This window comes from Homo sapiens, chromosome 1 (assembly GCF_000001405.40).
Source record: "Homo sapiens chromosome 1, GRCh38.p14 Primary Assembly".
Taxonomy (NCBI): domain Eukaryota; kingdom Metazoa; phylum Chordata; class Mammalia; order Primates; family Hominidae; genus Homo; species Homo sapiens.
Genome location: NC_000001.11, coordinates 117400855 through 117428820, shown reverse-complemented (window position 1 = coordinate 117428820; position 27966 = coordinate 117400855). Strand labels below are relative to the sequence as shown.

The 27966-nt window shown below is 33.0% G+C and overlaps 1 protein-coding gene across 4 annotated transcripts in view, besides 1 other annotated feature; it reads right to left on the bottom strand.

Moving 5' to 3' along the window:
- Positions 1-27966, bottom strand: part of MAN1A2 (mannosidase alpha class 1A member 2) — a 161424-nt gene that overhangs the window by 100052 nt on the left and 33406 nt on the right. For all 4 annotated transcript variants that reach the window (NM_006699.5, XM_006710302.4, XM_011540536.4 and 1 more), the window contains exons 2-5: positions 26380-26635; positions 23176-23272; positions 13990-14108; positions 8172-8252 (exon numbers count right to left, since the gene is read on the bottom strand). In NM_006699.5, the coding sequence (NP_006690.1) occupies positions 8172-8252; positions 13990-14108; positions 23176-23272; positions 26380-26635 (553 nt within the window). The remainder of the gene's footprint in view (positions 1-8171; positions 8253-13989; positions 14109-23175; positions 23273-26379; positions 26636-27966) is intronic.
- Positions 22368-22568: a silencer, noted in NCBI's record as "peak388 fragment used in MPRA reporter construct". NCBI's record gives its function as "represses an SCP1 promoter by STARR-seq MPRAs in K562 erythroleukemia cells {active_cell/tissue: K562}" and the evidence as "EXISTENCE:reporter gene assay evidence [ECO:0000049][PMID:32103011]".

The following is a 27966-nucleotide window of genomic DNA, read 5'->3' as shown; positions in this document are numbered from 1 at the left end:
AAAAAATAAATTTAAAAAAAAAAAAAAAAAAAAAAAGAAAGGTCTCCTCTTGTCTCTGACAATACTTTTCATCTTGAAGTATACTCTGATATTGATGTAGTCATTTAAACCTTTCTACACTTGCTGTTCATATACTATGTATCTTTTTTCCCATTCATTTACTTTCAACCTCTCTATTAAGTGTGTCTTTTTTAGACTGTGAATAGTTTGGTCTTGCTTTTATGTCGTTTTAACTATTTTTGCCTTTGACTTAGAATATTTCATTCACTAAAACTTAATGGCATTATTGATATTACTGGATATAGGTGTATGATATTATTTTTGGTTTTCTGTTCGCCATTTCCATTGCTTTTTGTTGTTGTCCTCTATTCCTTCCTTTCTGTTTTTTTTATTTAAATATTTTCTAGGCAGGGCACAGTGGCTTTCATTTGTAATCCCAGCACTTTGGGAGGCCAAGGCAGGAAGATCTCTTGAGCCCAGGAGTTCAAGACCAGCCTGGGCAACATGGAGAGACCCCACCTCTACAAAAAATAAAATAATTAGCCAAGCATGGTGGCGTGCACCTGTGGTCCCAGCTACTCAGGAAGCTGAGGTGCAAGGATCACTTAAGCCCAGGAGGTTGAGGTTCCAGTGAGCCGTGATCACACCACTGCACTCCAGTCTGGGTGACAAGAGTGAGACTCGGTCCCCCCCCAAAAAAAAAAAAATAGAGAGAGAGAGAGAGAGAGATTTACAGTTTATTTATTGGTGGTTAAGCTATACGTGTCTGCAATATTTTTCTTTAATGTTTGTCCCAGGGATTAATTATGTCCTTAACTTTTCACAGACTATTAAGAGTAATATGGTGTAACTTCATATAAAATGGAGAAACCTTACAATCTTGTAGTTCCATTTCCTCCCTCCCTCTTTTATTCCACAGCTGCATGTATTACATCTATGTATGTTATAACCCAATATAAAATGCTATGGTTTTTGCCTAAGCATTCACATAATTTTAAAGAAATTTTGAAAAAGTAATCTCTGTGGTTTCTGATGAGTGTTCAGTCATCAGTCAAATTAAAGTACCTCCACATATAACATGTGTCATTTCTCTATGAATACTTTCAAACTTTTCTCTTTGTATTTGGCTTTCAGCTGTTTGACCATGATATGCCTACATTTGGTTGGTATTTATCATGTTTAGGATCTACTTAGCTTCTTGAAATTCAGGTCCATCACCAAATATAGAAAAAATATAGTCATTATTTCTTCAACTATTTTTTACAGCTATCTGCTCTCTTCATACAGGATTCCAATTATATGTATGTTGGAATACTGTCCTATAAGTTTCTGAAGCTCCATTCATTTTTAATAAATATTTAATTCTCTTTCTTCACACTGGATAATTTACATTGATCTATCTACAAGTTCACTGACTCTCACCCTTCCAATGACAACAGTCAACATGATGACTTTGTTTTAAACACTGAAGTTTTCATTCTAGAATTTCCATGTTATTTCATTTCTGATGAGATTTTCATCTATTTGGTCATTTCAGAAATATTTTCCTTTATGTCACTGGGCATAGTTATAACAGCTGCTTTAACATCCTTGTCAACTAATGCCAGTATCTGGGTTACCTTAGAACAGGTCACCATTGATTGACTTTTGGAAAAAAAAAAATGGATCATTTTCCCTATTTTTTTCATACATTGAGTAATTTTAAACTGTATCCTGATCACTGTGATTGATAGGCTTTACAGGAAGCTGATTCTGTTATATCTTCTGAGAAGTGCACATTTTTTGTTTTAAAAAGCACTTAAATTTGGCTAAACTCAAAATCTAACAATGAGTCCAAGAGCTATGACAGCCTAGTATATGTATATAATTGGAATCCCAGAAGTGGGGCAGGGGGCTCTTGCAATATATAAAAAGACATTACATATAAAGGAACAAAGAATTAAAGAAGATTTCTCATCACAAACTATGCAAGCTATAAGATAATGTAGTGACATTTTTAAAGTATTGATAAGAAAAAATACAGATGGTCACTAACTTATGACAGTTTGACTTAGGATGGTTCAACTCATGATTTTTTCAACTTTACAATGGTATGAAAGCAATAAGTATTCAGTAGTAACTATACTTCAAGTGCTCGTATGGCCATTCTGTTATTCGTTTTCAGTATTCAATAAATTACACGAGCTATTCAACACTTTACTATAAACTGGGCTTTGTTATATCAATTGGCCCAACTGTAAGCTAATGTAAGTGTTCTGAGGATGTTTAAGGTAGGCTAAGCTATGATATTTGGTAGGTTAGGTGTACTAAATGCATTTTCAACTTAGGATGTTTTCAATTTGCAATGGGTTTATCAGGACATAATCCTATCATAAGTCGATGGATGTCTATATTTTAAAAAACAATAACTGAGAATTTTTTAGAAAATAATTAAAGATATCAACCCACAGACCCCAGCAGCTTAAAGAACCTCAGGCAAAATAAACAGTCCTACTCATACCCCTGCAGCCCAACACATACACACACAAAGTAAAAACCACTCAGACTCTTCATACAAAACAAAATATAAACAGAAAATTTTAAAGGCAACCAAATGAAAAAAAAAAGACCTATTACATACAGAGGAATAAAGAATTAAAGGAGATTTCTCATCACAAACTATGCAAGCTATAAGATAATGCAGTGACATTTCTAAAGTGTTGACAGGAAAAACTGTAAACCTATATTTTATACCCAAAGAAAATTTTTCAAAAATATAGTGGAAATAGATTTTCAGACTAACAAAAACTAAAAGAACTCACTACCAATAGACCTATACTATAAAAAATGTTAAAGGAAGCTGTTTCCACAGAAGGAATAAAATACCTGAAAAACCTGAAAAATCAGAAACCTGAACCTGCAAAAAGAAAAGACCAACAAAAATGACTGAAATGAAGACAAAAAGGCATTTCTTTTATTTTTAATAGTTCTAAACGATAACTGATCACCTAAGGTAAAAGTGGTAGCAATGTACTATGGATTTGCAGCATAAAACTGAAATCTATAATAATAACAACATACACAAAAAGATAAAAAGAATATTGTTAGCTATAGGTTTTTTGTAGATGCCCTTTATCACCTTGAGAAAGGTCCCTTCTACTTCTAGTTTGCTGCAAGTTGTTATCATGAATAGACGTTACATGTTGTCAGATGTTTCTGTGGTTATGTAATAAGATTATATGATGTTTTTCTTTAGTCTGTTGACATAGTGAATTATATTGGTTGATTTTTGAACATCAAACCAGCCTTGCATTCTTGGGAAGAAACCCCACTTGGTCATGATGTATTACCCTTTTTATATATTGCTAGATTTGATTTTGTGATACATTGTTGAGAATTTTTTGCATCTACAATATTCACATGAGATACTGATCTATAGTTTTACTTTAATACCTCTGTGTGTGTGTCACATAGGATTAATGCTGGCCTCATAGAATGAGCTGAAAAATTACTCTTCTTTTTTTTCTGGAGAAATTTACATATAATCGATATTAAATATTTGGTAGAATTTGCCAGTGAAGCAACTTGGGTTGGGAGTTTTGTTTTTTCCTTTCCAAGTTTTAAAACTTTGCATCTTTTTATAGATAGAGTTCTGATCCTTCCCCCTTCCCTCCCCCCTTTGCCCTCCTTTTCTTCCTTCCTTTCCCCTTCCTTCCCCCTTTCCCTTCTCCTCCCTTCCCCCTCCTTTTCTTCCCTTCCCCCTCTCCTGTTTTGTCTCCTTCTTTTGGAAAAAGAAATCGGTTTTATTTCTCTTGGCACAGAGCAATATATGAAGGTGGCTATCTCCTGACTCCATATATCACTTACATAAAGATGTCCTTCAAATATGTCCAGTTACCTACCACATTTCAGTGTTAGAGAACTGGCAGTTAGCAGATGAAGCAGCTCAGAAGATTCTTAAAGACATTTCTGTGGGGAAGAAGTTTTGGGTCAAGGGGAAAAGATGAGACCCAAGAATGAACATTCCATCCTTCCCGGGGAAATCTAAATCCCAAAGATTTTATGAAGAAAGGCACCTCTCTGAGTGACCTTTGAGAGGAAGAGCCCAGACCTACTGTTTGTATGTAAGGCTGAGGCAGATGGAGGATGGGGTATGCAGCAGACTGCAGACTCAAGGCAGAGGAGTGAAACGCATATAGGAGAGCTGAGGGGACTGAAAGAGACTAGAGGTCCAAATCATAAATCCCACTCCTTCCCAAGTCATGAGCAAAAGCACTCCTTCCCAAGTCATGAGCAAAAGCTCTCCCTCTGGGACTAGTTTTTCCAGGAACTATCTTCGTTCCAGGGCACAGAAAGGACAAACCAGGCAAAAATCTTATGGGTACGAAAGGTGGAGAGTTAAAGGAGCAGACCAACAGAAATAATAAACATTCTTGGATTACAGTACTTTTGAAGCCATATGCCATGATCGTGGAAGAGAATAAAGCTATCACTGCAATTCCTAGGATCAGGAACCAGGCAAGGATGCCTACTCTGCCCATTACTATTCAACTTTGTAGTAGATGTCCTAGGCAATGCAGTAAGGCAAGAAAAAGAAAAGGACCACACAAATAAAACCATTCTCTGCCTCAGGAGAAGGAGCAGGAAAAGAACAAAAATAAATAAATAACCATTCTCTATACAGAAAAATAAAACTCATCTCTATTTACTAATGACATGATTGTTTATAAGGTAAATCCTGAAGAATCTATTAAAGTATATTTTAAAGCTACTAGAATTAATTAATGAAGTTAGAAAAATCACAGGGTAAAAAGTCAATATAAAAATCAATTATGGAAGGCTGAGGCAGGAGAATCGCTTGAACCCGGGAGGCAGAGGTTGCAGTGAGCTGTGATCGCGCCATTGCACTCCAGCCTGGGCAATAAGAGCAAAACTCCGTCTCAAAAAAAAAAAAAAGAAAGAAAGAAAGAAAAAAAGAAAAATCAATTGCACATTGCACAACAATGCAAATGTTGTTTTTAATGCCACTGAACTGCACACTTAAAATGGTTAAAATGGTAAATTTTATGTTGTGTACCTTTAGCACTTTTTTAAAATGATAGTATCACAAAGTTTTCTAGAAGAAACAAAATGTCCTGAGACAACTGAGAATTTAAGTCTTTATTAAAGGTTTTTTAAAAATCAAATGTATTTATATATACTGACAATGAACAATGGGAAACCAAAATTTAAAATACAGAACTACCAAAAACATGAAATATGTATAAATTTATCAAAATACATACAAGATCTGTATGCTAAAAAGTAGAAACACCAATAAAAAAATAAATAAATGGAGAGATATACCATTATTCATGGACTGAAACAATACTGTGAAGATGTCAAATCACTCAAAATTTATAATCCCAGTTAAAATCTCAGTAGATTTTATAGAAACCAACAAGTTGATTCTAAAATTTATACAAAAAGGAAAAGTAACTAAAACAGCCACAACAATTTTGAAAAGGAATAAAGTTGGAGGACTCACACAACCTGATTTCAAGACTTTCTATAAAGCCATAATAATGAATACAATGTGGTAGTACCAAAGACAGACACATAAATCAAGAGAACAAAACAGAATGTCTAGAGTAGACCCACACATACCTAATCAACTGATTTTCAACAAAGGTACAAAGTCAATTAATGAAAAAGTAGTCTTTTCAACATCCATATGGAAAAAAGTAGACTTCAACTTATACCTCACAGCATATATAGGATTTAACTCAAAATCAATTACAGACTTAAAAGTACAAATAAAGTAAAGCTATAATAGTTTTGGAAGAAAACTTAAGAGAAAATCTTTGTGATGTTGGATTAGGCAAACATTTCTTAAACAAAATACCAAATGCATGAACCATAAAAGACAAAATTAGTAAATTGTACTTCCAGATTAACAACATCAATTCTTCAAAAGATACTGTTAAATCACTGGAAAGACAAGCCACAGATAGAGAAAATAATTGCAAATGTATAGATTATAAAAGACCTATGTCCAAAATATGTAAAGAACTATCACAATTTAATAATTCAAAAAAAACAAAAATTTTTAAATGGGCAAGGGATTTGAGCAGCTAATTCAAAAAATACATATGACAAATAAACATAGGAAAAGATGCTCAACATCACTTGTCATCAGGGAATGCAAAATAGAACCACCACAATGAGATACTACTATGTATCTATTAGAATGGCTAACAATAATAAAGAGACTCACAATACAAAGTACTCACAACAATGAGAGGCAATTTTTGGAAAAGAATCTGACAGTTTCTTCCAAAGTTAAATATACACTTAACCTTTGACTCAGTAAATCCCATTCCTATGTATTTATCCAAGATAAATAAAAATTTATTTTCCCACAGAAATCTATAGGCAAATGCTTATAGCAGGTTTATTCACAATCTCCAAAACTGTAAATAATTCCACTGATAAATATATAAAATGCATAATGGAGTACTGTAATACAGTAAAAAGGAATAAACTACTAATACATGGATAAATCTCAAATGCATTATGCTAAGTAAAAGAAGCCAGCATTCTTAACTGTAGAGACAGAAAAGAGATCAGTAATTATCAGGGGCTGGCAATGGGATAGGGTAATTATAAAATGGTAAATGGAAATTTTCTAGGATAATAAAATTCTGTATCTTGATCATGCTGGTGATTACAATACTATGCACTGTAAAAACTCATAAAACTATATACTGAATTTTACTGTACGTAAATAATACCTCAATAAACCTTACTAAAAATAACAATTAATTCACAATGATTTTATTCCTATAAGCCAGGTCAGAGTTTCTCAAAATATAGAACCAATGTTTCCAAAATCACCTTTAACAAGGAGTATTTGGCATGAACAACGTAGGATAATGGTCTCCACGCTAAACCCACTGAATCGGTCCTTTGGGCAGGGCTTGGAATCCTCATTTTTATAAAACACCTTATGTGATTCTAATACATACTAAAGTTTGATAACCTCTTGGCCAGAGTATATATCATTTTTTTCTATTTTATTAAATGTGAATTTAAATGTTCTGACTATAGAAATATATGTTAGAGGTATAAACAAATCACACAATATAATTTGACAATAAAATTACACATTAAGATAAATGTAATCTAATATATTAAATACCAGCATCTTTAAACATATTTCTTCTAAAAAAAAAAGGTAGTACATAAATAGCTCACTCTTTACACACAAAGGAACAACAATAAATGAAATATATAGATAAAAGTATATAAAGTCATAAAAATCCATACGAAAATGGGAATTTTTGTTTTGTAATAACACAGACATAGGAAAGGCTTTCTAAGGACCAAAATCTAGAAGCCAAAACACTGGGGGGAAAAAAAAATCCTTTAAATGATTACTTCAACATTAACAACAAAAAAAAATTAAACAAAATACAGCTAACATAGATATGTATCTTTATAATACATATAACAAAAGGTAAATTTTCTTAAATCTACAAAGAGCTCTTACAAATTGTCTAGATCAACAAACCAAAATATGGGTGAAACAGTTGCTCAAAAAACAAATAAATGACTTATAACCTCTTCCTTTAGTTTCTCTTTCTCCCACTCTTCAACCTCATTCTTTAACCTATTTCAATAGTAAAAGGGAATTTCCTACACCCACTTCTCCATCACCTTAGGTCTCAAGTGTCTCCATGTGTTCTGTACCAAGATTTCCAGAGAGGAGAATTCAGAGTTGTTATTATTTATAGCCAAAAACTGGATTCAATTTCTAAACAGTAAGTTTGAATTACTAATTTTTGGTCTTAGGAGGATCCATATTAATTCTTTCTGATTTGTTATTTAATTTTGTCCTTATTAGTTTATTTTCCCCCTTTACTTGGGCCATGGAATTAATTGCAATGGCAAAATCCTGGAGAAGGATCACTCTTGCAAAGGAGACATGGTGTATATAAAGCTAGGATCTGTGATGAATTCATGTTTTATTGAGAGCCTCAAAATGGAAAAATTATTATTCCCAAGGAATAGTTCTGCCTGAAGCAACCAGTTCTAGACTGGTTCAATATTACCAATTTAGAAAACTAATATGCTTCTAGGGAAATTGTTCATTTTATTAAATTCCAACCCTCCCCTCCAAAACAAACAATGCATTGCTTGATTTTGCTCACCTCCTCTCCTGATAGGTAATATGCTGCAAGTAGGCCTCCAATAAATCGAATGTTGACTTCAAACACAGACACCTCTGAATTCTGTGAAAAACATATTGAAAACATTCACAAATACGTAATGCTTTATAGTTTTCAAAATATTATCAATACTTCATTTGTTTTTCACAAACACCCTGTGGAAAATATTTTTCTACTTTCTGCATCTTCATTTCTCATGCAACTGCAATCTCTCCTCTCGTTTGTTAATGTTACTGAAACTTCTCTACTGCTGTCACCACAGCTCCCTAATTCCTGAAACCAACAAGCCATTTTTTATGTACCTTACACAGTACTGTGAACTTATCAGGATATTTAACACTGTTAACTATTACCCTTCCTCATGAAAGCCTTCATTTCTAGAATTCTGGGTCATGATTCTAGAATAGCACTCTTTACTGGTGGTCCTTTTTCTTCTGTTCTAATCACTACAGCATAATTTTTACTTCCTCTCTCCTCCTGGATTTTAAGTATTTTTCCTAGAATATATAATAAGTGTTAAAGGAGGCACCAAAAAAATGGCAGAATGATGGATTATTCAATAATAATGTTGAGAAAATTGCCTCCTGGGTAAGAAATTAACATAAATACTAATTTCACAAATATCAAAATGAAATCTAAATTATTTGGAAATAAATGTTTAAAAAAATTTTTAAAGTAGAAGTGTGGCAATATATAAATTTCCCTGAGAAAGCAGGTACTTAAGCATAAAACCAATAGTTTTGATAAATTGATGACAGACATGAAATTTTTCTAAAATGCAAATTACCTATAAGAAAAAGAATCATAAACAAAACTAAATGGCAAACAGATGGAAACAGCACAAATATAGTAATATTAATAACCTTACTAAATAGAGTCTCTATGTTTGTATTTACATATTGATATAGATATTGCTAGAAATATTCTAACACATGGAAAGAAAAGCAGAAGTGGCAGAGAACATAATCAAAGAATCTACAGAAGATATACAACTAACATAAAAACATTCATAGTTAATTTTAATAAAAATTAAAAGGAAACTGTATTACTCTAAAGTCTTTCCAACATTCATAGGCAGGCACATCATCTGCTAACATATTTCTTCAGTATAGAATTTTTACAATATAATGTAATTTTTTGATAACACGATCATCATTCCATCCCACCATGAAAGCAAAGTGCTTAATATTACTTCATATATTCCCAACATCTAACATACTACAGGGCACATAGCAGACATTGACTAAATATGAGGAGGAAGGAAAAAAGGGTGGGAGGGCCTCCATCTCTTACCAGAATTGCAACAATAACCTTCCAACCAGTCCCTGCTTTAATACTTACCCTCCTCCTTACCCTCTATTCAGCACACTATAGTTAAAATGAGCCTTTTAAATCTTACATCAGTTTAGATCACTACTCTGTGCAAACCCCTACGATGCCTTCACATAACACTCAAGAGTAAAATGACCAATAAGATCCAACATGCTCAGATCCCCTACAACCTCTTTGACATCCCTTGTATTAATATCCCTTTGATTCATTTAATTATATGGGCCTACTTGCTGTACCCAGAATTGTCAAACTTGAGACTCCTATGTCAGCTTTACAATTGTTACCCTATTATCTGGATGCTTTCCTTTCACATAACTGAACAAATCACTCTCACTTCCTATAGGTCTCTGAATAAATGTCACCTTATCAGAAATTTTTTCTGACCATCTAATATAAAATATTAATACCAATTACCTTGCATTATTTCCCTAATTAACACATCATCATCTAACTATATATAATCACACGGTAATCAAATAGTTTCATTTGTAAAACAATCTTCCTTCACTACAGAAACAAAAGGTATCAGAAATTCTAGAGGGACAGAACGGAAAAATAGGATAGAGACATTTTTGAAAGAAGTAATAACTGAGAACCTACTAAACTTGATGAAAATGTAAGTCTTCAGATTGATGAAACATTATGAGTCCTTTAAAGAATAACCCACACATAGACATATAGTAATAGAATTACAGAACAACAAAGCAAAAAATAAAATATTAAAACAAGGGAAAAAACAGATTGCCTTTTTAAAATTAAACTGAAAACACACTTTGCAATAGTATAACAGAAGCAGGAAAGACAAGGGAACTGTACCTCTATTCTCAGTTTTAATATCTATTAAGACAGAGTTGTATATCCACATGGCTCCCCTTGGGTCTCTTCTCAGAAGTGTCACTTTAACAAAGAGTTCTTCCATGACCACCCCATGTAAAATACTAATAGCAGTACCCCACCATTACTCTCCATAGCACTTATCATCACCCTCTGATGTACTATATATAACTTGTTTACTGTTTTGCTCCTGACACTAGAACACAAACACAAAAAAGAGATAAAACTCTGTTTTGTTGATTACTATATCCACAGAATCTAGAACAGTGCCTGTTGCATTTGATAAATGTGTGCATTTATTTATCTATTACTTAATTTGGAAGTTTAAAATATAACTTGGGATCAACTAGACAACAATGACACATAAAACAAAAGGGGGATGAGTTAAGTTAAAGCATTCTAAAATCCTTATATTCTTCAGAAGGAGGATCTTACTCTGTTGCCCAGGCTAGAGTACAGTAGCATGATCATGGCTCCCTGTAGCCTCAACCTCCTGGGCTCAAGCAATCCTCCCTCCTCAGCCTCCCAAGTAGCTGGGATTTATTTTCTGTAGAGTTCAGGTCTCACTATGTTGCCCAAGCTGGGCTCAAGCGATCCTCCTGCCTCAACCTCCCAAAGTGCTGGGATTACAGACACGAGCCATGACTCCTTGTCTGAAATTGATTAATTTCAAACTGCCTACTTAGGGTTATCCTTAAAGTTTATATATATTTATATATACTATACTTTGATGAGAGAGAGAGAGAGAGAGAGAGAGAGTGTGTGTGTGTGTGTGCACGCCTACTTTGGAGTTACCCTTAAAGTTTAAACATACATTGTTTATTGTTTTGCTCCTGACACCAGAGCACAAACACAAAAAAGAGATAAAACTCAGTTTTAATGTATTTTTATAAAACATATATATCACATATATATATATATATATATATATTTAAACTCAAGGATATCTCCAAAGTCAATAGAAATGGAAGGTATAATGTTAAACTAGTAGAGGGAAAAAGAGAGATGATGTAATTTAATCCAAAATAAGGAAAACAAACTAAAAACAAATGAAAAGTATGATCATAATATAGGTAGCAAAACAAAGATGAAAGACCTAACTCCAAATATGTTATCATAGTAAATGTAAATATATCAAACTTAATAGTTAAAAAGACTCTAAGGTTGGATAAAAATAACAAAACCCAAATACATACTATATATGCAAAATAAGCAGCTAAAACATAATGACATTTAAAGGTTGAAAGAAAGGAACAAAAAATGACTGTGCTGATGATTACACTACTTCTCTCAGGTTCAAATCCATTCTTCTATACTCTACTTTGGTATATGGGAGTTGGAACTACACAAATGCATTTAATTTACCAACTGGCTCCCTTTTAGGCACTAACATTAGGAGGTTCTAAAAAGACAATACAAGACTGGAGGAAGAAGAGTCTTATTCCCTCCTGCTTACTTCTAGTTTCTGATAGTGTCTCACCAGCCAGGGTTCACCCTGGCAGTGGCAACTGCTTCCAGAGTACTGTTCCCTTATCACACATACAGACACACAATCCCCAAATCAGCCTCATGGTTTCCTTTACAGATATCAAGCACTTGGCTAGGTGTCTCCTCCTCAGAGTTCTGAGTCTCAGCTCTGACACAGTCTTCCTGAGGTACCAGTAACACCTGGGCAGCACAGGTACCAGTTCCATAGAGCCCAAGCTACTGCATTTTAATGATCCCAACCTCTTCCCATTGTTCTTATAGTCCCCACAGGTGGCAGCTGTTTCCTGTTTCCTAGAGTTAATACTTCTGGTGATATCACAATGCTCTCTTTTTGCCTTTTTGGTTCCCCATTAGTTGGATAACAATTCTAAACATTAAATCCTCTAGTTAAAATAAATGGCATAGTCTGGTTCCTGATTGAACCCTGACTGATAATAATGATATACAAGGGAATTATTAGCCATTATAAAGCTGTCCTGTCAATGAATGGGAGTATTGCACAGATGCTAATTCTCCCCAAATTAATCTGCAAATTAAATGCAATCCTCCTCAAAATTTCCACACAGTTTTCCAGAACTTGAAAGAACAAAAAGCTGAGAACTAAGACAATTTCCGCAGAGAACAAGATCAGATACCAACAGAGAACAGATTCAGATACAGACATCAAGCTTCTTATAAAAAAAATTGTAGTTAAGATAGTTTAGTATTGACATATGGATAAAGAAAAAAGCCAATGTTAAAGAATAAACTGTAATATGACTAATATATGACTAATGTGGCATATAAAAGTAGCAGGAAAAGAAATGGTACTAGGATCAACTAATAGTGGCCTACTTCATCCTACATTAAAAAAAATTCAATTCCATTTGGATTAAAGACTAAATACAAAAGCAAAACTTTAAAACCTTCAGAATAAAATATAAGAAAATATATTCATGATCTAGGAGTAGGGCTTTCTTAAACAAGATACAAAAAGCACAATCTGTTGTATAAAGGCTACATAGCTACACAGAAAAAAAGACTACATTTCTCAGCTTTCCTTTGGAGTTAGTTGAGGCTGTGTTAGTAAACTCTAAAAGCAAAAATGGGGAGACTACCTCCTGAGAAGTCTTCTTAGAGAACAGTCACATTCTTTCTGTCAACTGGATAAAATGTCTGGATCTTTAGGAACCATTTCATATCATGAGGTCTAAGATATACACTGAAGCCAACAGAACAACAAGACAAATGATCCTAGATCCTTGATGATCAAGGAGCCACCCAAACCAGCCCTGAACTGCTTAACTCTGTACTTGATTTACATGAAAAAAAAATAAATATCTATCTTGTTTAAGCTCTTTTATATTAGGTTTTCTATCACTCACCATCAAACCTAAACTTAATTGATAATAAAAATTGTTCTCTTTGAGATACGTCCAAATTCTACAGTAATATAAAGGAAAGTAAACCATTTTTGTCTAGTTAGCTCCAAGAATGGCATCAGAGAAGAAATAATTATGGACTTATATCACAATTTAAATAACGAAGAGTCTGCCAGAGAGAAGTACATAGAGAAGTAGTGAAGGATAATACAGTCAAAAGGAAAAGCAAGCACAAATATCACAAAAGATGTGAATATGACAAAACAGTCCACACATCTTTTAGGTGAAGACTGGTGATAATGAAAATAATTGCTACCATTTACTGAGCATTTAATATGTACCACATTATCTCAAATAATCCTCACAATACTATAATGGAATATCAATTTTATGACAGGTTTAGGAAGATAAGGAACTTTCTCAAGTCGCACACCAAGAATGCAACTGTGCTGGGCGTGTGACTTAACAACTATGCCAAACCTAAGCAGTGCCACTTGACCATGCTAAAGTGCCAGAAGAATGAGTGTAGGCCTAACTATGAAAATTCATCGAAGCTGTGCTAATTACTCAACTTTAAAATATATATATATATTTTTTCCATTCATGAGAGGTCAACCCTCATGACCTAATCACCTCCCAAAGTCCCCATCTTCTAGTACCGTCACATTAGTGATTAGGTTTCAACATATGAATTTTAGGAAGGCACAAATGTTCAGACCATAGCAGTTAGACATTGTGTCTTTTCATGGTTAATCTAAGAGATTAGTTATCAATCATACACTCACCACACTGAAATCAAGGTTGTCTTCAATCCATCTTTGCCCATCTAGGAATTCATCATGAAGTCCCATGATATAAAGGGTATCCAAAGCATCTACTATGGTAGCACCCATTTGTGAACTTCCTATATTTGGGAAGAAAAAAATTATCATTAAAAAGATCCCTTTAGGTTCCTGTTCTCTTTGGGGGGAAAAAAAAGATTCCCTTCACATTCAGTGTATTTTAATTATTTATGTATAAAGGTAAACTAAAGTAAGAGTATAAGGACTAAAAATTTAGAATACCCAATATTGTTCCCTTTTACATTAGAAATTATATGTATATATTAGATAATATACATAGTTTAATATATTTTACTAAAAATAGTACTTTACTAAAAATAGGAAGATAAAAGAAAACTAAAAGCATACTTTTCCTTAATTTTCTGCCTCGTCAGAATATGAGATATCTATCTACTTAACTGAGAAAGGAAAAAAAAAGAGGATTAATTCAAGAAAAGAGGAGAGTACTTCACAATGACAAAGCTAAGTAATAAGACAACCATGTCCTTCTGGTCTGGTCCAAATTCATATAAAGGACAAAAAATATATTTAAAAATAATAATAAATGTACAACAGGGCTGGATAACCACAGTGGAAAAAAAACAATCCTTAACAATCAACAAGCAGGTAGATCAAATTGAAAAAAGGAAACCATCAAACAAAATATGAGTAGAGAAAATCAAAATAATAAAATGTATCCACTTTTAAGAAAGAGATAATCCTTATCATTAAAAAAATGTTCTGAGGGGAAGAAAGCAAGAGAGAAAGGGAGGAAGAGAGGGAAGAATTAATTCAAAACCAGCCTAACTGATACCAAAACTAGATAATGAAAACTTAAGAGAAGAAAACAGGCCAATCTTACTAATGAATATAACTCTACAAATCCTAAATAAACTAGGTTTGTTTTGCTACTAGTAGAGTAAAAAATCTAGTAGTACAGCAAAAAAATAAATATCAGGGAGCAGATGGGTTCACCCCAATCCCATTAATGCAATTATTATTTGTGTCCTATGAAAATGCAAATGATCCACACAGCTTACTGCCTGCATTAACATGGCTTTACTATATTACATTGTCTTCAACAACATGAATTTACTGTTCCAGGAGCTCTTGCTCAGAAAGATAAAAGTTGCAAAAAAAATTTATTGTTCATTCCAGGAACTTCTTTAAAGACCCATCAACTCTACAACAGAAAGTATCAAATGATGATTTATACCCCAAAACTCTGAAAGGTTACGACTCCAGCGAGGTAGTGATCTCCTTACCAAAGTAATAATTAACAGCTTTGTCTTATCAACGGGTTTTCTTGGTGACATTTTCAGAGCCAGCATTCAACATTACTTAGTTCACATTTTCCATTTACTATTCTCCTCTTTTCTTTCTTTTTCCATTCCTCTTTCTACTGAGTAGAAATTGTTTTCTTCCAATGATTTAAAGCTACACAAATTTGTTCTTATGATGGTTGTTCTTAATTTACATGCCATTTTCTTGTTCATGTGTTCCTAATAATTTCTTCAACTTATCAATACATCTATCTTCTCTTAGCTAACAAGACAAATACTCCAACACACTCTGATAAATTCCTTGGTCTTCTACCTACTCAGTTCCCTTCATGTTGATATTATCTAGAAAGTTATGTGTTGTTACGTTCCTCAGCTTTTTATTACGATAAAAATGGTATCAAGCCATTTAATCACTCATATATCTCTATCTCTTGCATAAATTCTTGAATATGTATTCTCTTTTAATTTTAGCATTTCATCCAAAACATTTACCAAACTTATTTTAAATCCTTGAGACTACTGTTTGTGTCCTTATTTTAATTTTTGTAGATAGTTCTGCTCCTCCAGTTACCTAGTTATTTATTTAGTCCTCTAAGTACATATTTCTCTAAGGTATTGACTATTCTGGAGTGGAAAAAGGCCTGACCCACCTATTCTGTACCAGTCTTGGTTAGTTGCACTAGGTGCCATGAGCTAAAGGCTTCAAGGAAGAAAAGTGTAAAATTGAAATTACTGGCTATCATCATGATTGTTTACCTAGAGGAAGTCAAGATTTGAACAGGAAAAAATGAAAAAGCCTAACACTATTCTTGGGTCAAAGAAGCAGCAAAACATGACATTGCAAAATATATAAAACATCATAAAAATTTAGTATGAGAGCAAGTGAATCAACTAAAGCAGTTCTCACAAAAACACTTAAAATATTTATACTAGTTAATAAGAACAAATGAAAATAACTGAATATTCTAAGAAAGAAAAAACAAATTTGAGCAAAATAATAGAAGAATGAGAAAAACTAAAGGCAGAAATGGATGAATTAGAAATGAAGAAAATTATTGAAATAATAAATTCAAGAAATGGTTCCATGAAGAACCATACAATGAATCTACCATTAACCTCGTTTTTAAAAGGTAGACAAGACAAAAACACAAAATAAATAAAAATGTAACAACAGACAAGCACAGAGAAAATTTTTTAAAATTATAAAAGGCCCATTTTATTCATATATTCACAATAAATTTGATCTTTCTCGAGAAATACTATTTTTGACTTATGAAAGAAGAAACAGAAAATCTAAACAGACCGAAAAACACAGGAAATAAAAAAGTTTTCAAAGAGCTACCCGCTATCAAAATACCATATTCTAGAAGTTTCATAGAATGACTACTACTTTAATTTTAAGGATGATAACTCCTATTCTATACAAACTTTTATATAACATAGGGAAAAAGATCTTAAAATTCAATTTGTAAATTCTTTATATCATTGGCGGAAAAAAATCGAATTTACTAAGAAACATACAACTACACCTGATCTCATTTGTGAGCAACAAGGAAATATTTAGGAGTGGAATTGCTAGGCTATACAGTAAGTTTATAAGAAACCAACAAACTGCTTTCCACAGTGTACCATTTTACATTCCCAATACAATGTATAACAGAGTTGCTCTAGCATCCTTGTCAATATTTGGTATTGTTGATCCTCAAATTTTAGACATGTTAATGGGTGTGTAGAAATATTCCATTGTGGTGTGAATTTTACTTTCCCTGCTTATTGATGTGCTTACTGGCTATTCATATACCTCCTTGGGTGGGGAAGTATTTATATATTCTGGATACATCCTTATGTAAATATTTCAAATATCTTCTCCAAGTCTTTGGTTTGTCTTTCCAATTTCCTGATGTCTTTGGGGAGCAGAAATCTTCAATTTTCATTAAGTCCAATTTACCAACATTTTTATTTTATACTTAATGCTTTTTGTGTTCTAAAAAATCCTTGCTAACCTCAAAGTCACAAAGATGTTCTCAAGTGTTTTCTACTGAAATTTTTTTACTTTTAGCTTTTATATTTAGCTCTGTGATCCATTTTTCTATACAATGTTGAAGGAAGAGGCAAAGCTCATTCTTTTCCCATACAAATATACAGTTGACCCAGCACCACTTGTTGGAAAGGCTATCCTTTTAATCACTGAACCTCAGCATCTTTGTTGAAAATCAATTAACCATGTATGTACACTTCTATTTCTATTCTTTTCCACAGATCTCTATGCCCATCCTTATGCTAAAACCATACTGTCCTGAATTGTAGCTTTACTGTAATTTATAAAATCAGGTAGTGCAAATCCTTCAACTTGGTTTTTTTTAAAAAAATTACTTGACTATTCTAAGTGCTTTGTATTTTCATAGATTTTAGAATCAACTTGCCAATTTCTACAGAAAAGCCTAGTCATTTTCATTGGACTCCTCTAAATTTAAACATAAATTTAGAAAGAATTAACATCCCAACAATATTGAATATTCAAATTCATCAACATGGCATTTCTCTCCATTAAGTCCTTTTAAATTTCTCTCAAAAACAACATAAAGTTTTCCATGTGCAGGTTCTGTACATATTTTGTCAAATTTATACACATATAGTTCTTATTTTTTGATACTACTGCAAATGACTTTATTTTTTAAACTGTGTTTATAACTGTTTGTTGCAAGTATACCAAGACACATAATTGGTTTTGCATATTAAACTTGTATCCTATAACATTACTAAATTTGTTTATTCTAGCACCTTTTTTGGGTACATTCCCTAGGATTCTCTCTGTGGGCAATTATGTTGACTAAAAATGTAAAGATAGTTTTACTTCTTCATTTCCAATCTTTATTCTTTTTTTTTTTTCTTTTTCTTTTTTCTGCCTTAGTGCACTGGCTAGGATCTCCAGTACAATGTTACATAAAAGTGAGAGGGTAGACACCTTTGCCTAGCTTGCAATCTTAGGGGAAAGCATATAGTCTTTCAATATTAAGTATGTGGGGGGTATTTTGCATTTTTTGCTTATTGTTGTTGTTTTGAAATTCTCTTTATCAGGTTAAAGAAATCCCCTTTTTAGTTTAGTGTGCTGACAGTTTTTATCATCGATGGATGTTAAATGTTATTAAATGCTTTTTCTCCAACTACTGGGATAATCCTATGATTTTTCTCTTTTATTATACTGATATCTTAAACTACACTAGCTAATTTCCAAATGTAAAACCTACCACGTATCTCTATGATAAATTCCACTTAGTCATAATGTAATATACACTCAGCCTTCAGTATTCACCAGTTACATATCCACAGGTTCAACCAACGGTAGACGGAAAATATTTGGGGAAAATAATTTTAAAAATAACACAGCAATTTAAAAAACAAAAATTTTAAGACACAGTATAACAACTATTTCTATTGTATTAGGTATTCTAAGTAATCTAGAGATAATTTTAAATATATGAGAATATGCTTAGGTTATATGCAAATATTATATACTATTTTATAAAAGAGACTTGGGCATCCATGGATTTTGGTATTCTCTGGAGTCCTGAAACCAATCCTCCATGGATACCAAAGGACAACTGTATTACTCAATAAGATTTACTAAAATTTAATTAAATATTCTTATGTCTATGTTCATAAGGGATATTGCTCTATAGTTTCCTTTTTTTATAAATATCTTTGTCTGGTTTTGATACTAGGACTTTAGTGGTGCTCCTAAGAATACATCATCCTTAATGGACAAACACCTGACAAGAGTACCTCAAATTACATTAAGCAAAAGTTGGCAGAACTGAAAGAAGTCCAAAATAAGAGTTGAGGACTTCAACATCCCTCTCTCAGTAACTGACAGAATGAGACAGAAACCCAACTAAGATAGAGACAGCCTGAACAACCCCATTAACCAATGGGATCTAACTGACATCAATAGAACATTCCACACAATAACAGCAGAATATACACATACCATTCTTTCTAAGAACAAATGGAAAATTCACCAAGACAAACCTGTGTCTAAAAGCAAACCAAAAATAATTTAAAAGAATGAAAATTATGTGAAGTACATTCTCTGATCCTAACAAAATTAAAACGAGAAATCTGTAACAGAAGGATTTTTTTAAACTCTAAATACTTAAACTTACGCAAGGAAAATTTTAAAACACTGAATTGAATGAAAATGAAAATATATCAAAACCTCAGGGATGCAGCAAAAGCAGTAGTTAGAAAGTTTACAGTAATAAACACATTAGAAAAGAGGATCTCTGGTCAATAATCTAGGCTTCTACTTCAAGACACTGGAAAAACAAGAGCAAAATCAACCCAAATCATGCAAAAGAAGAAAACAATAAAGAGTAGAAATCAAAGAAATGAAAACACAAAGAAAATATTACAAAGATCAATGAACCCAAAAGTTGTTTCTTTGAAAAGATCAATAAAATTAATAAACTTCTAGCAGGACAAGAGAGGAGACAAAACATAAATCAATAATATTAGAAATGAAAGGGGATTATTACTACAGCTGCCACAGACATTCAAATGACAAGGCAATACTCCAAACAATTCTATGCATATAAAATCAATAACTTAGATAAAACCAGACCAATTACTCAAAAACCACAAATTACCAAAACTCAACCAAAATGAAACAGATAAACTGAATGGTCCTTACTATTAGAGAAATTAAGTTTGTAGTTTAAAAACCTTCAAGAAAAAAAAAATTCCAGATGCAAGTGGTTTCTTCAGCAACATATACCAAACATTAAAGAAAAAAATAAAACCAATCCTAAACAATCTCATCCAGAAAACTGAAAAGCAGAAAACACTTCCCAAATCATTTTCTGAGTCCAGCATTACTCTGATATCAAAACAAGACAAAGATAATACAAGAAAAGTACAGAGCAGTATCTCTTATTAATATAGAAGCAACAATCTTCAACAAAACATGTACAAATCAAATCACAGTTAAGTCAGAAATAACAAAAGGAACATATTTACATATAAATACACACACACACACACCTGGAAAATAAAATGCACCCTTCAAAGAGCATTGCAAAATCAAAGAATACTTTTTACAAATTAAAATAATTTCTTCTACATGCAAAAAGACCTATCCCTAACAAAACTTTCTACTTTCCAGAATATCTAAATAGAAAGAACTCATTCTGCTTTTTTTTTTTTTTTTTTTTAAGAGAAAGGGTTTTGCTATGTTGCTATGTTGCCCAGGTTAGGGCACAGTGGCTATTCACAGGCATCATGATCATGGTGCCCCATAGCCTTGGACTCCTGGCCCCAGGCGATCCTCCCATCTCAACCTCCTGCGGAGCTGGGACTATGTGCCACTGCACCCAGCCATTCTAACTATTAATCATTGTTAGAATAATTAGTATCAGTGCTAACTTACATCCAGCAACATTTCCTCCTCCCCTCTCCTGGCTCCAGAGCCAGGCCCTAACTAAGCAAAACAAAAAGAACATGTCCCATCCTCCTAAGCACAGCATTTGGTTCAACAATGGGCACAAGACCTAATCAGAGACAATAAGAAACAGTGAGTATTTCAATTATATTTCTAAGACATCCGAGTGCTCTCTTCTCTACAATGTTCTCTTTCCCACAGCTGTGGTAGTATGAAGATATGAAGCTTCAAGTTGCTGCAGCCATCCTGCTAAGAAACCAGCTTGATTATATCAAAACACAGGAAAACAGAAAAGATAAAGTAAAAAAGCTCAGGTAAAATCAGATATACACCAGGAATTCATTCAGCTGATTAAGTTTTCTTTTTAGTTTAAGCCATTTTGCAATGGATTTTCTGTTATCTGCATGTAAAGAGGACTCTGATGCCAAGAACTAACTAGACAGAAGTCAGAGGAGCCCCTATCTCAGTTACCATATAAAAGAATTGTTTAATAATCAAGGCTAACAAAAAGAGTGTTTTAAGTTAATGTTTTCCCTAAAATCTAGAATATTGCAAGCAAAGGTTCAGTATCCACCTACATATTCCTATTCTGTAAAGGCATACTAAATTTGAGATGTCAAATGAGACACTGAGAACTACTTACCACGCTTCTCTTAGACTTTTACTGTTTTTTTAAAAAAGAAAAAGATCAAAAAATAGATTAAAAAAACTCAAATTGTACTTACTGGCAAGAATTTGAGATACACAAAAGAAACAGAGTAAGTAGGAAACAAAGTATTAAACTATAAAAAATAATCCTTTAACAAACTGACTGCATAGCTACAAACATAAGACAAAACATAATAATGGATCTATTCCTACTTAGCTTATCTGGCTGGAAAAGAAACTGTAACCACTCAAAAATTCAATAAAAAATAAGCAGCACCTAATTTTGACTACTGAAAATTCTGTAGATTTTCTTTTTCTACCATTTCACTATAATTTTCTTCGCAGAATAGATGTTTCCTAAGTGTCAAAATTAATTTTCTTCTACCTTTAAAGTTTACTAAAGCATCAATATTTATCTGATAAACAGATAGGACCAGTATCTATTTGATAAATATTAATACATTAGATGTTCTGAGAAATATCGTTTGAAAAAAGTAAAAAATTGACATCCAATTTTTATTTTCAATACATTTTTATACTCCAATCTTTTTAAAAGGCTCACAATTTACCGTTGAGTTTAACATAAAAATAGTTACTTGAAGGGAGGTTCTAAATTTAATTGACTATTAAATTTAATGTCTTTATTGCACTAACGCCTCATATTGTGACATCCACAAAGCAGTAAGAACTTTCCAGTCCAAAACTCTGTTAAGAAAATATACTTTATTTCATTACATAATGGCTGATAAATTAAATATCATATTATGAAGTCTCTAGTAGTCACTGATTACCTAGAGGAAACTTTTTTCCTTTACTCCTCTACCACAACATCTCCCAAACCCAACAGAAATTATTTTTTAAGACATTTTCTTTTTTGATCAAAAGCAAGCAACAATGAACAAATTATAAGAAAACTCACAGCATTAGAAAAATCCTTCCCTAGTGTCAAAAAGAAAATTGCTGTTATTTGAATTACTGTGATGGTTTACTACAGGTAATAAAATCAGATTGCATATAACTAGTTTGTGACTTTTTAGCCCATTAAAATTTTCTTGCCTTCATCTATCATTACTTAAAAGATAATGATCAAGTCACATCAAGAAGCATTTAAAATGGGGGAAAGGAGTGAAGACTACAAAGAGTAGCTTAACAATTCTGAAGACTTACCTTTGGGTTTAGTAAAAGTTGTTAAATTGGTTAAGTTAAACTGGGAAGTTTTACAAGTGAACTGAGCTCAGGGAAAGTAGGATGAACAAACTCAAGATGAACACAGCTCTTCCCCAAACCTCCATTCACAGAACACATTGTTAATTTTTCCTTAGGAACTGTGAATGTACAACATAACCCACTGAATTCAGTAACCCAATCATCCCAGGTATGTCACTTTTTTAAAAAATGTACACAGAACTACAAGAATTTCCTATCCCTCCCCTCTTCCTCTGTAATGTGAATATCAGAATAGGTATTGTGTTGAAGAAAAAAATGACAAGTAGGTGCCTACTTTTCCTGACACTAAAGAAAAAAATGCCAAAAAAAAGCTTTTAAATACTCAGATAAATGACTAAAGCATCCATATGTAAATAGAAAATCTACCACATATATGTGTACTCCAAAGCAACTGGAACTTAATCGTGACTGACACTTGCAAAAAATCATACCTGTTTCTTCAAATTATAGTTCCACAGAAATACTCAGATTTTAGAAAGTACTTTGAAAAGTTACATCTTGTTTTAAAAGATGGAGGTAGAAAATGGAAATAGTAATTAGAAAAAGTAAACTTACCAAATATGTTAGGGGAGTGTCCTTTCCTTGCAATAGGTCTGAGTTCATTATGTCCCCACCCATATGTCCTATAGTTATCCCAAGCATGTTTCATCATCTGAAAAGAGAAAAATTATAATCCATCAATTTAAATTTTTCACAAACTGTTTTTTTATTTCATACAATTTTGGGTTCTATTACTATATCCTTGCCCATTCTTCCAGATCTATATTAGTACATTATTCAATTAGCATTTGTATCAGTATGAAAACATACATAACTATGTTTAATCTCATCTATATGACAGGAAAAAAATGGGCATAATAGAAAAGTCTTCTTTCTTCAGGAGGTACATATTTGTTTGGCATTCTTTCCTTTTGAGAAATGTTAAGTCTTTTTGGGGACAGCTCTCCTTTCCTCACATATAACAGAGCTGTCAATCAAGAGGCTCTGCTTCTACCACCAATTAACTCACCCTAGCTAGAAAATCCCCTATCCTTAGACCAGAGATCAACAAACTAACTCTGCTGTTACAGCATAAAAGCAGTCCCAGATAATATCTAAGTAAATGGACATGGTTGTGTTCAAATTAAAATTTATTTTATTTATTTTTTTTGTTTGAGATGGAGTCTCGCTCTGTCACCCAGGCTGGAATGCAGTGACACCAGCTCAGCTCACTGCAAGCTCCACCTCCCGGGTTCACACCATTCTCCTGCCTCAGCCTCCTGGGACTAGAGGTGCCCACCACCACACCTGGCTAATTTTTTGTTATTTTTAGTAGAGACAGGGTTTCACCGTGTCAGCCAGAATGGTCTTGATCTCCTGACCTCATGATCCGCCCACTTTGGCCTCCCAAAGTGCTGGGATTACAGGTGTGAGCCACCATGCCCAGCCTAAAATTTATTTTTAAAAAACAGACAGCAAGCAGAATTTGGCCCACAGGTTGCAGCTGTCAACCCCTGCCCTAAACAAAGTGAGTGGATACATGTGATTCAGGTAGGAACAATCAAGTTCTTTTTACACATATTGTTATTGACACCATGAGATAGAGGGCTTTTTTATTCTGCAATCTGATGGTCTATGTAATATATAATCCTGGAGCTGATAATGGCTCTCTGCCAGCATGGAGAAACTAGCAAAAGGAAAGAGAGACAGATGCTTAACACTCACAATAATATCTACAGGCTTGGATTCAGCCAAACTTGAAGCCCTTGTTTAGAGCCATTAAACCAATAAATACTATTTGTATCACTTAGTTTGAGCTGAGTGTCTTACAACCCAAGGAGTTCTGAGTTATACAATAGCAGAGTATTTAATTATATATCAGACGAATTATATAATAGTAGACCAAAAATCTATTCATTTAACAGCATACTATTCATTAAACATTTCCCAACTTGCTTTATGCAGCCAGCATTAATCAGACACCAAAATCAAGCAAAGATATTACAAGAAAACTCAAGACCAATGTATCTCAAGAACACAGATGCAAAATTCCTTAAGAAAAATTAGCAACATCTAAGACAGATACCATACCACGACAAAGTGGAGTTTAACCCAGGAATATAAGACTAATTTAACATCCAAAAAACAATGTAATTTACCATGTTAACAGAATAAAGGAAAAAAAATCATACAGTCATCTAGAGAAAAATGAAGACAATGCATCTGACAAAATTCAACACTCATTCATGATAAAACTCTCAGTAAACTACAATTACAAGGAGACATCCTCAACCTAATAAACAGCATCTTTAAAAAACCTACAGTTGACACAACATAGTTAATGGCAAAAGACTGGATGCTTAACCCCTAAAGTTGGGAACAAACCTAGTATGTCCATTCTCGCCACTTACTTTGAACAATGTATTAGAACTCCTAGCCACTGCAGTACGACAAGAAAAAAAATATAAAAGGTATAAAAATCAAGAAGGAAAAAGTAAAAGTATCTCTTCACAGAAGACATGACTACGTATAAGAAAAATCACAAGCAATCTACAAAAAAGCTATAAGAATAAATAACTTCAGTAAAATAACAGGATAAAAGTTCAGCAAACTAAAACATGTTTCTATATGCTGAGTTCCGTGGGTACTTCTGGTGAGTCACTGAACCTGAGGATCATCTGGGGGTCCCCTGAACACACATGGTTATCTATCTGAATTATTACGTATTTGAAAAAAGTATTTCAGTACATTGTAATGACATCTGAAAAAAAGCAAGTCAGGCATCTGAAAAAAAATCTATCACTGTCTCTCCCAACACTGTCCGAAGGAAGTGCCTTAAGTAGTCTACATATAAAACAGACTCTAGAGGTGAGGTAAAATCAGAGCACAGCTCTATTTCTACTCCATCAAGGTCAAGGTTTTATAATAATTCATAAGGCTAAGCTTAAAGTATCTGCTATACCTTCCATATCCATTACTAGAATATATCCAAATAGATATTTGATTACTTGAACTAAATTTATCTTACTTTATAATAATTAAACCTTCTGAAATATTGTTGGTACAATTACACTCTGATAAAATATTTTTCTTCACAGGCAGTATAATCACAAACTCCACCCAGAATTTTTAGGAGTTCTAATTAACAAAGTTTAACCCAAATATTCACTAGATTTTTCCCATCTGGTATTCTCTTTACTTTTAAGTAACTACAGAATAACAAATTGAAAGACTTCTGAGGCTAAATAAATTTAAAGAATTTTGAAATCAATTCTTTCCCATTTTTCAATCCATGGAGACTTTTTGGAAGGAATGTGTTCTTAATCTACAGTATAGTTGAGGGATACCATGACATGTTCCTTAAAAAATTGGAGATATAATGCTAGCTCTTTAGAAGCATGTTTATGAGGTGATCTGCATAGTATCTAGCAGAGTCCCTTTGTAACTGAACATTTAAGAAACTGCTTAGACAATAAGTTATATACAGATATATTATTAATAAAACGCTGAATTTCAAAAGATCTCTGAACAAAGAATGAGTGGCACTAACCATCCAAAAGTTGTATCAAAAATATTTTAAGTGTCCAATAATTACATTATAATTAACATTAAAAAAAAAAACAAGAAAGAGTTCTAGTCCTTATTACCAACCTGGAAACTATACTACAACTATGACCCAAGAATAAACAGATCAAAACAGGATACCATAGATTATATATATTTGTTTGTATCCAAATACAAATCCATAAACACTCCATATCACAAAACTCAGCTTATTACCTCTTTAATTTTTTCCCTTTTCTCTCTTATGTCATTATCTTCTGGGTCTCCACCACGTATTCCTACAAGGTTGGGAATAGGGACTGGTGGCAGTGGCTTGTTCTCTTTTATCTTCATTTCTTGGACTACCTTATTTTTCTCTGTCTGAATTTCTGCTCGAATTTCCTCTCTTGACTTTCTTAATTTTTCTTTTGCTTCTTCCAAGGCCTTCTCATGATCAGCTCGAATTTTATTTCTCAGACGTTCTTCCTCTTCCCTGTGAGAAAAGAAGGAAATAAAACGTAACAGTGAGCCTACTTAAGAATGTCAACCTTTAAATATAAAACATAAAGGTTTCTCCATTAAACCCAGGAACTTGTTTTCTACTTTTGCCATTAAAAGGAAAGAATTATCAGTGAGACACATTCAGATCTGGAATGAGAAAGAAAAGGAACCCTGGATGCCTAAGATCAAACTCTGTTTATAATCTCTTTATACAATTTCCAGACTAAGAGCAAAGATAACAGTAACTTATCCATAGACACTTGCAAAAAACAGACACCAGTGAAAACTAAATGGAGGAGAGAAAACAAAAATAGAATAAGTAACAGAGAAGAGACAAAAATATAAACATAAGGCCAAAGAAAAAAATAAGAGGAAAAGATAAGAGAACAGGAAGTTTTTCATTTATATAGTACAGCATATGCTTCTAAAACCTTTAAGTTTTCAAAAGTGCATAGATACTATAATGTAACATTCCCAACAGATGTGGGCATGACTACTTAAAACTCTCTTGAACTCTTGTTAAAAACAGATTCCAATTTAGTAGGTCTATATGAAACCCATGAATCTGTATCATGAAGAGCTCCTCAGATGATTCTGGTGTACACACAGATTTGGAAACCACTACTGCAATGGACACCTACACCGTTTTCCACCCAGCCCTACTTTTGTGAAAGAGAGTTCAATATTCCCTCTATATCCACCCCAATCCACAGGAATGAATACAAGAGTGGTACTTACTGTAAAACACTCTTTTCCAAATCAGTCAACCAACGATGACTACTCTAAGGGTAAACACCTAACCCAAGAGTCAATAGGTCATCTCTCCAGAAATTTAATTCAAGCTCTGCAGATGGCTGAACTTATAACATTGCTAGTGAGAATGTAAAATGGTGTAAATTTTTCCACTTTGGAAAAGTTTGTGTTTTTTTAAAACACTAAAGATGTAACTATCATAGAATCCTGCAAATGCACTTCTCGGCATTTATCTCAGAGAAATAAAGACTTATGATCACTGAAAAAAAAAAAAAAACCTTTATACAAGCTGGTCACAAAAAGACAAATACTGTATGATTCCACTTGTAGAAGGTACTTAAAGAAGGCAAAACCCTAGAGACAAAAAGTAGAATGGTGGTAGCCAGGAACTAGAGATGGGATAATGAGAAGTTATTGTTTAATGGGTACAGACAGAGTTTCAGGTTTGCAAGATGAAAAGAGTTCTGGAAATGGATGATGGTGATGGTTGTACAACAATATGAATGTATTTAATGCTACTGAATTGTACACATTAAAATGGTTAAGATGGTAAATTTTATGTTAATTGTA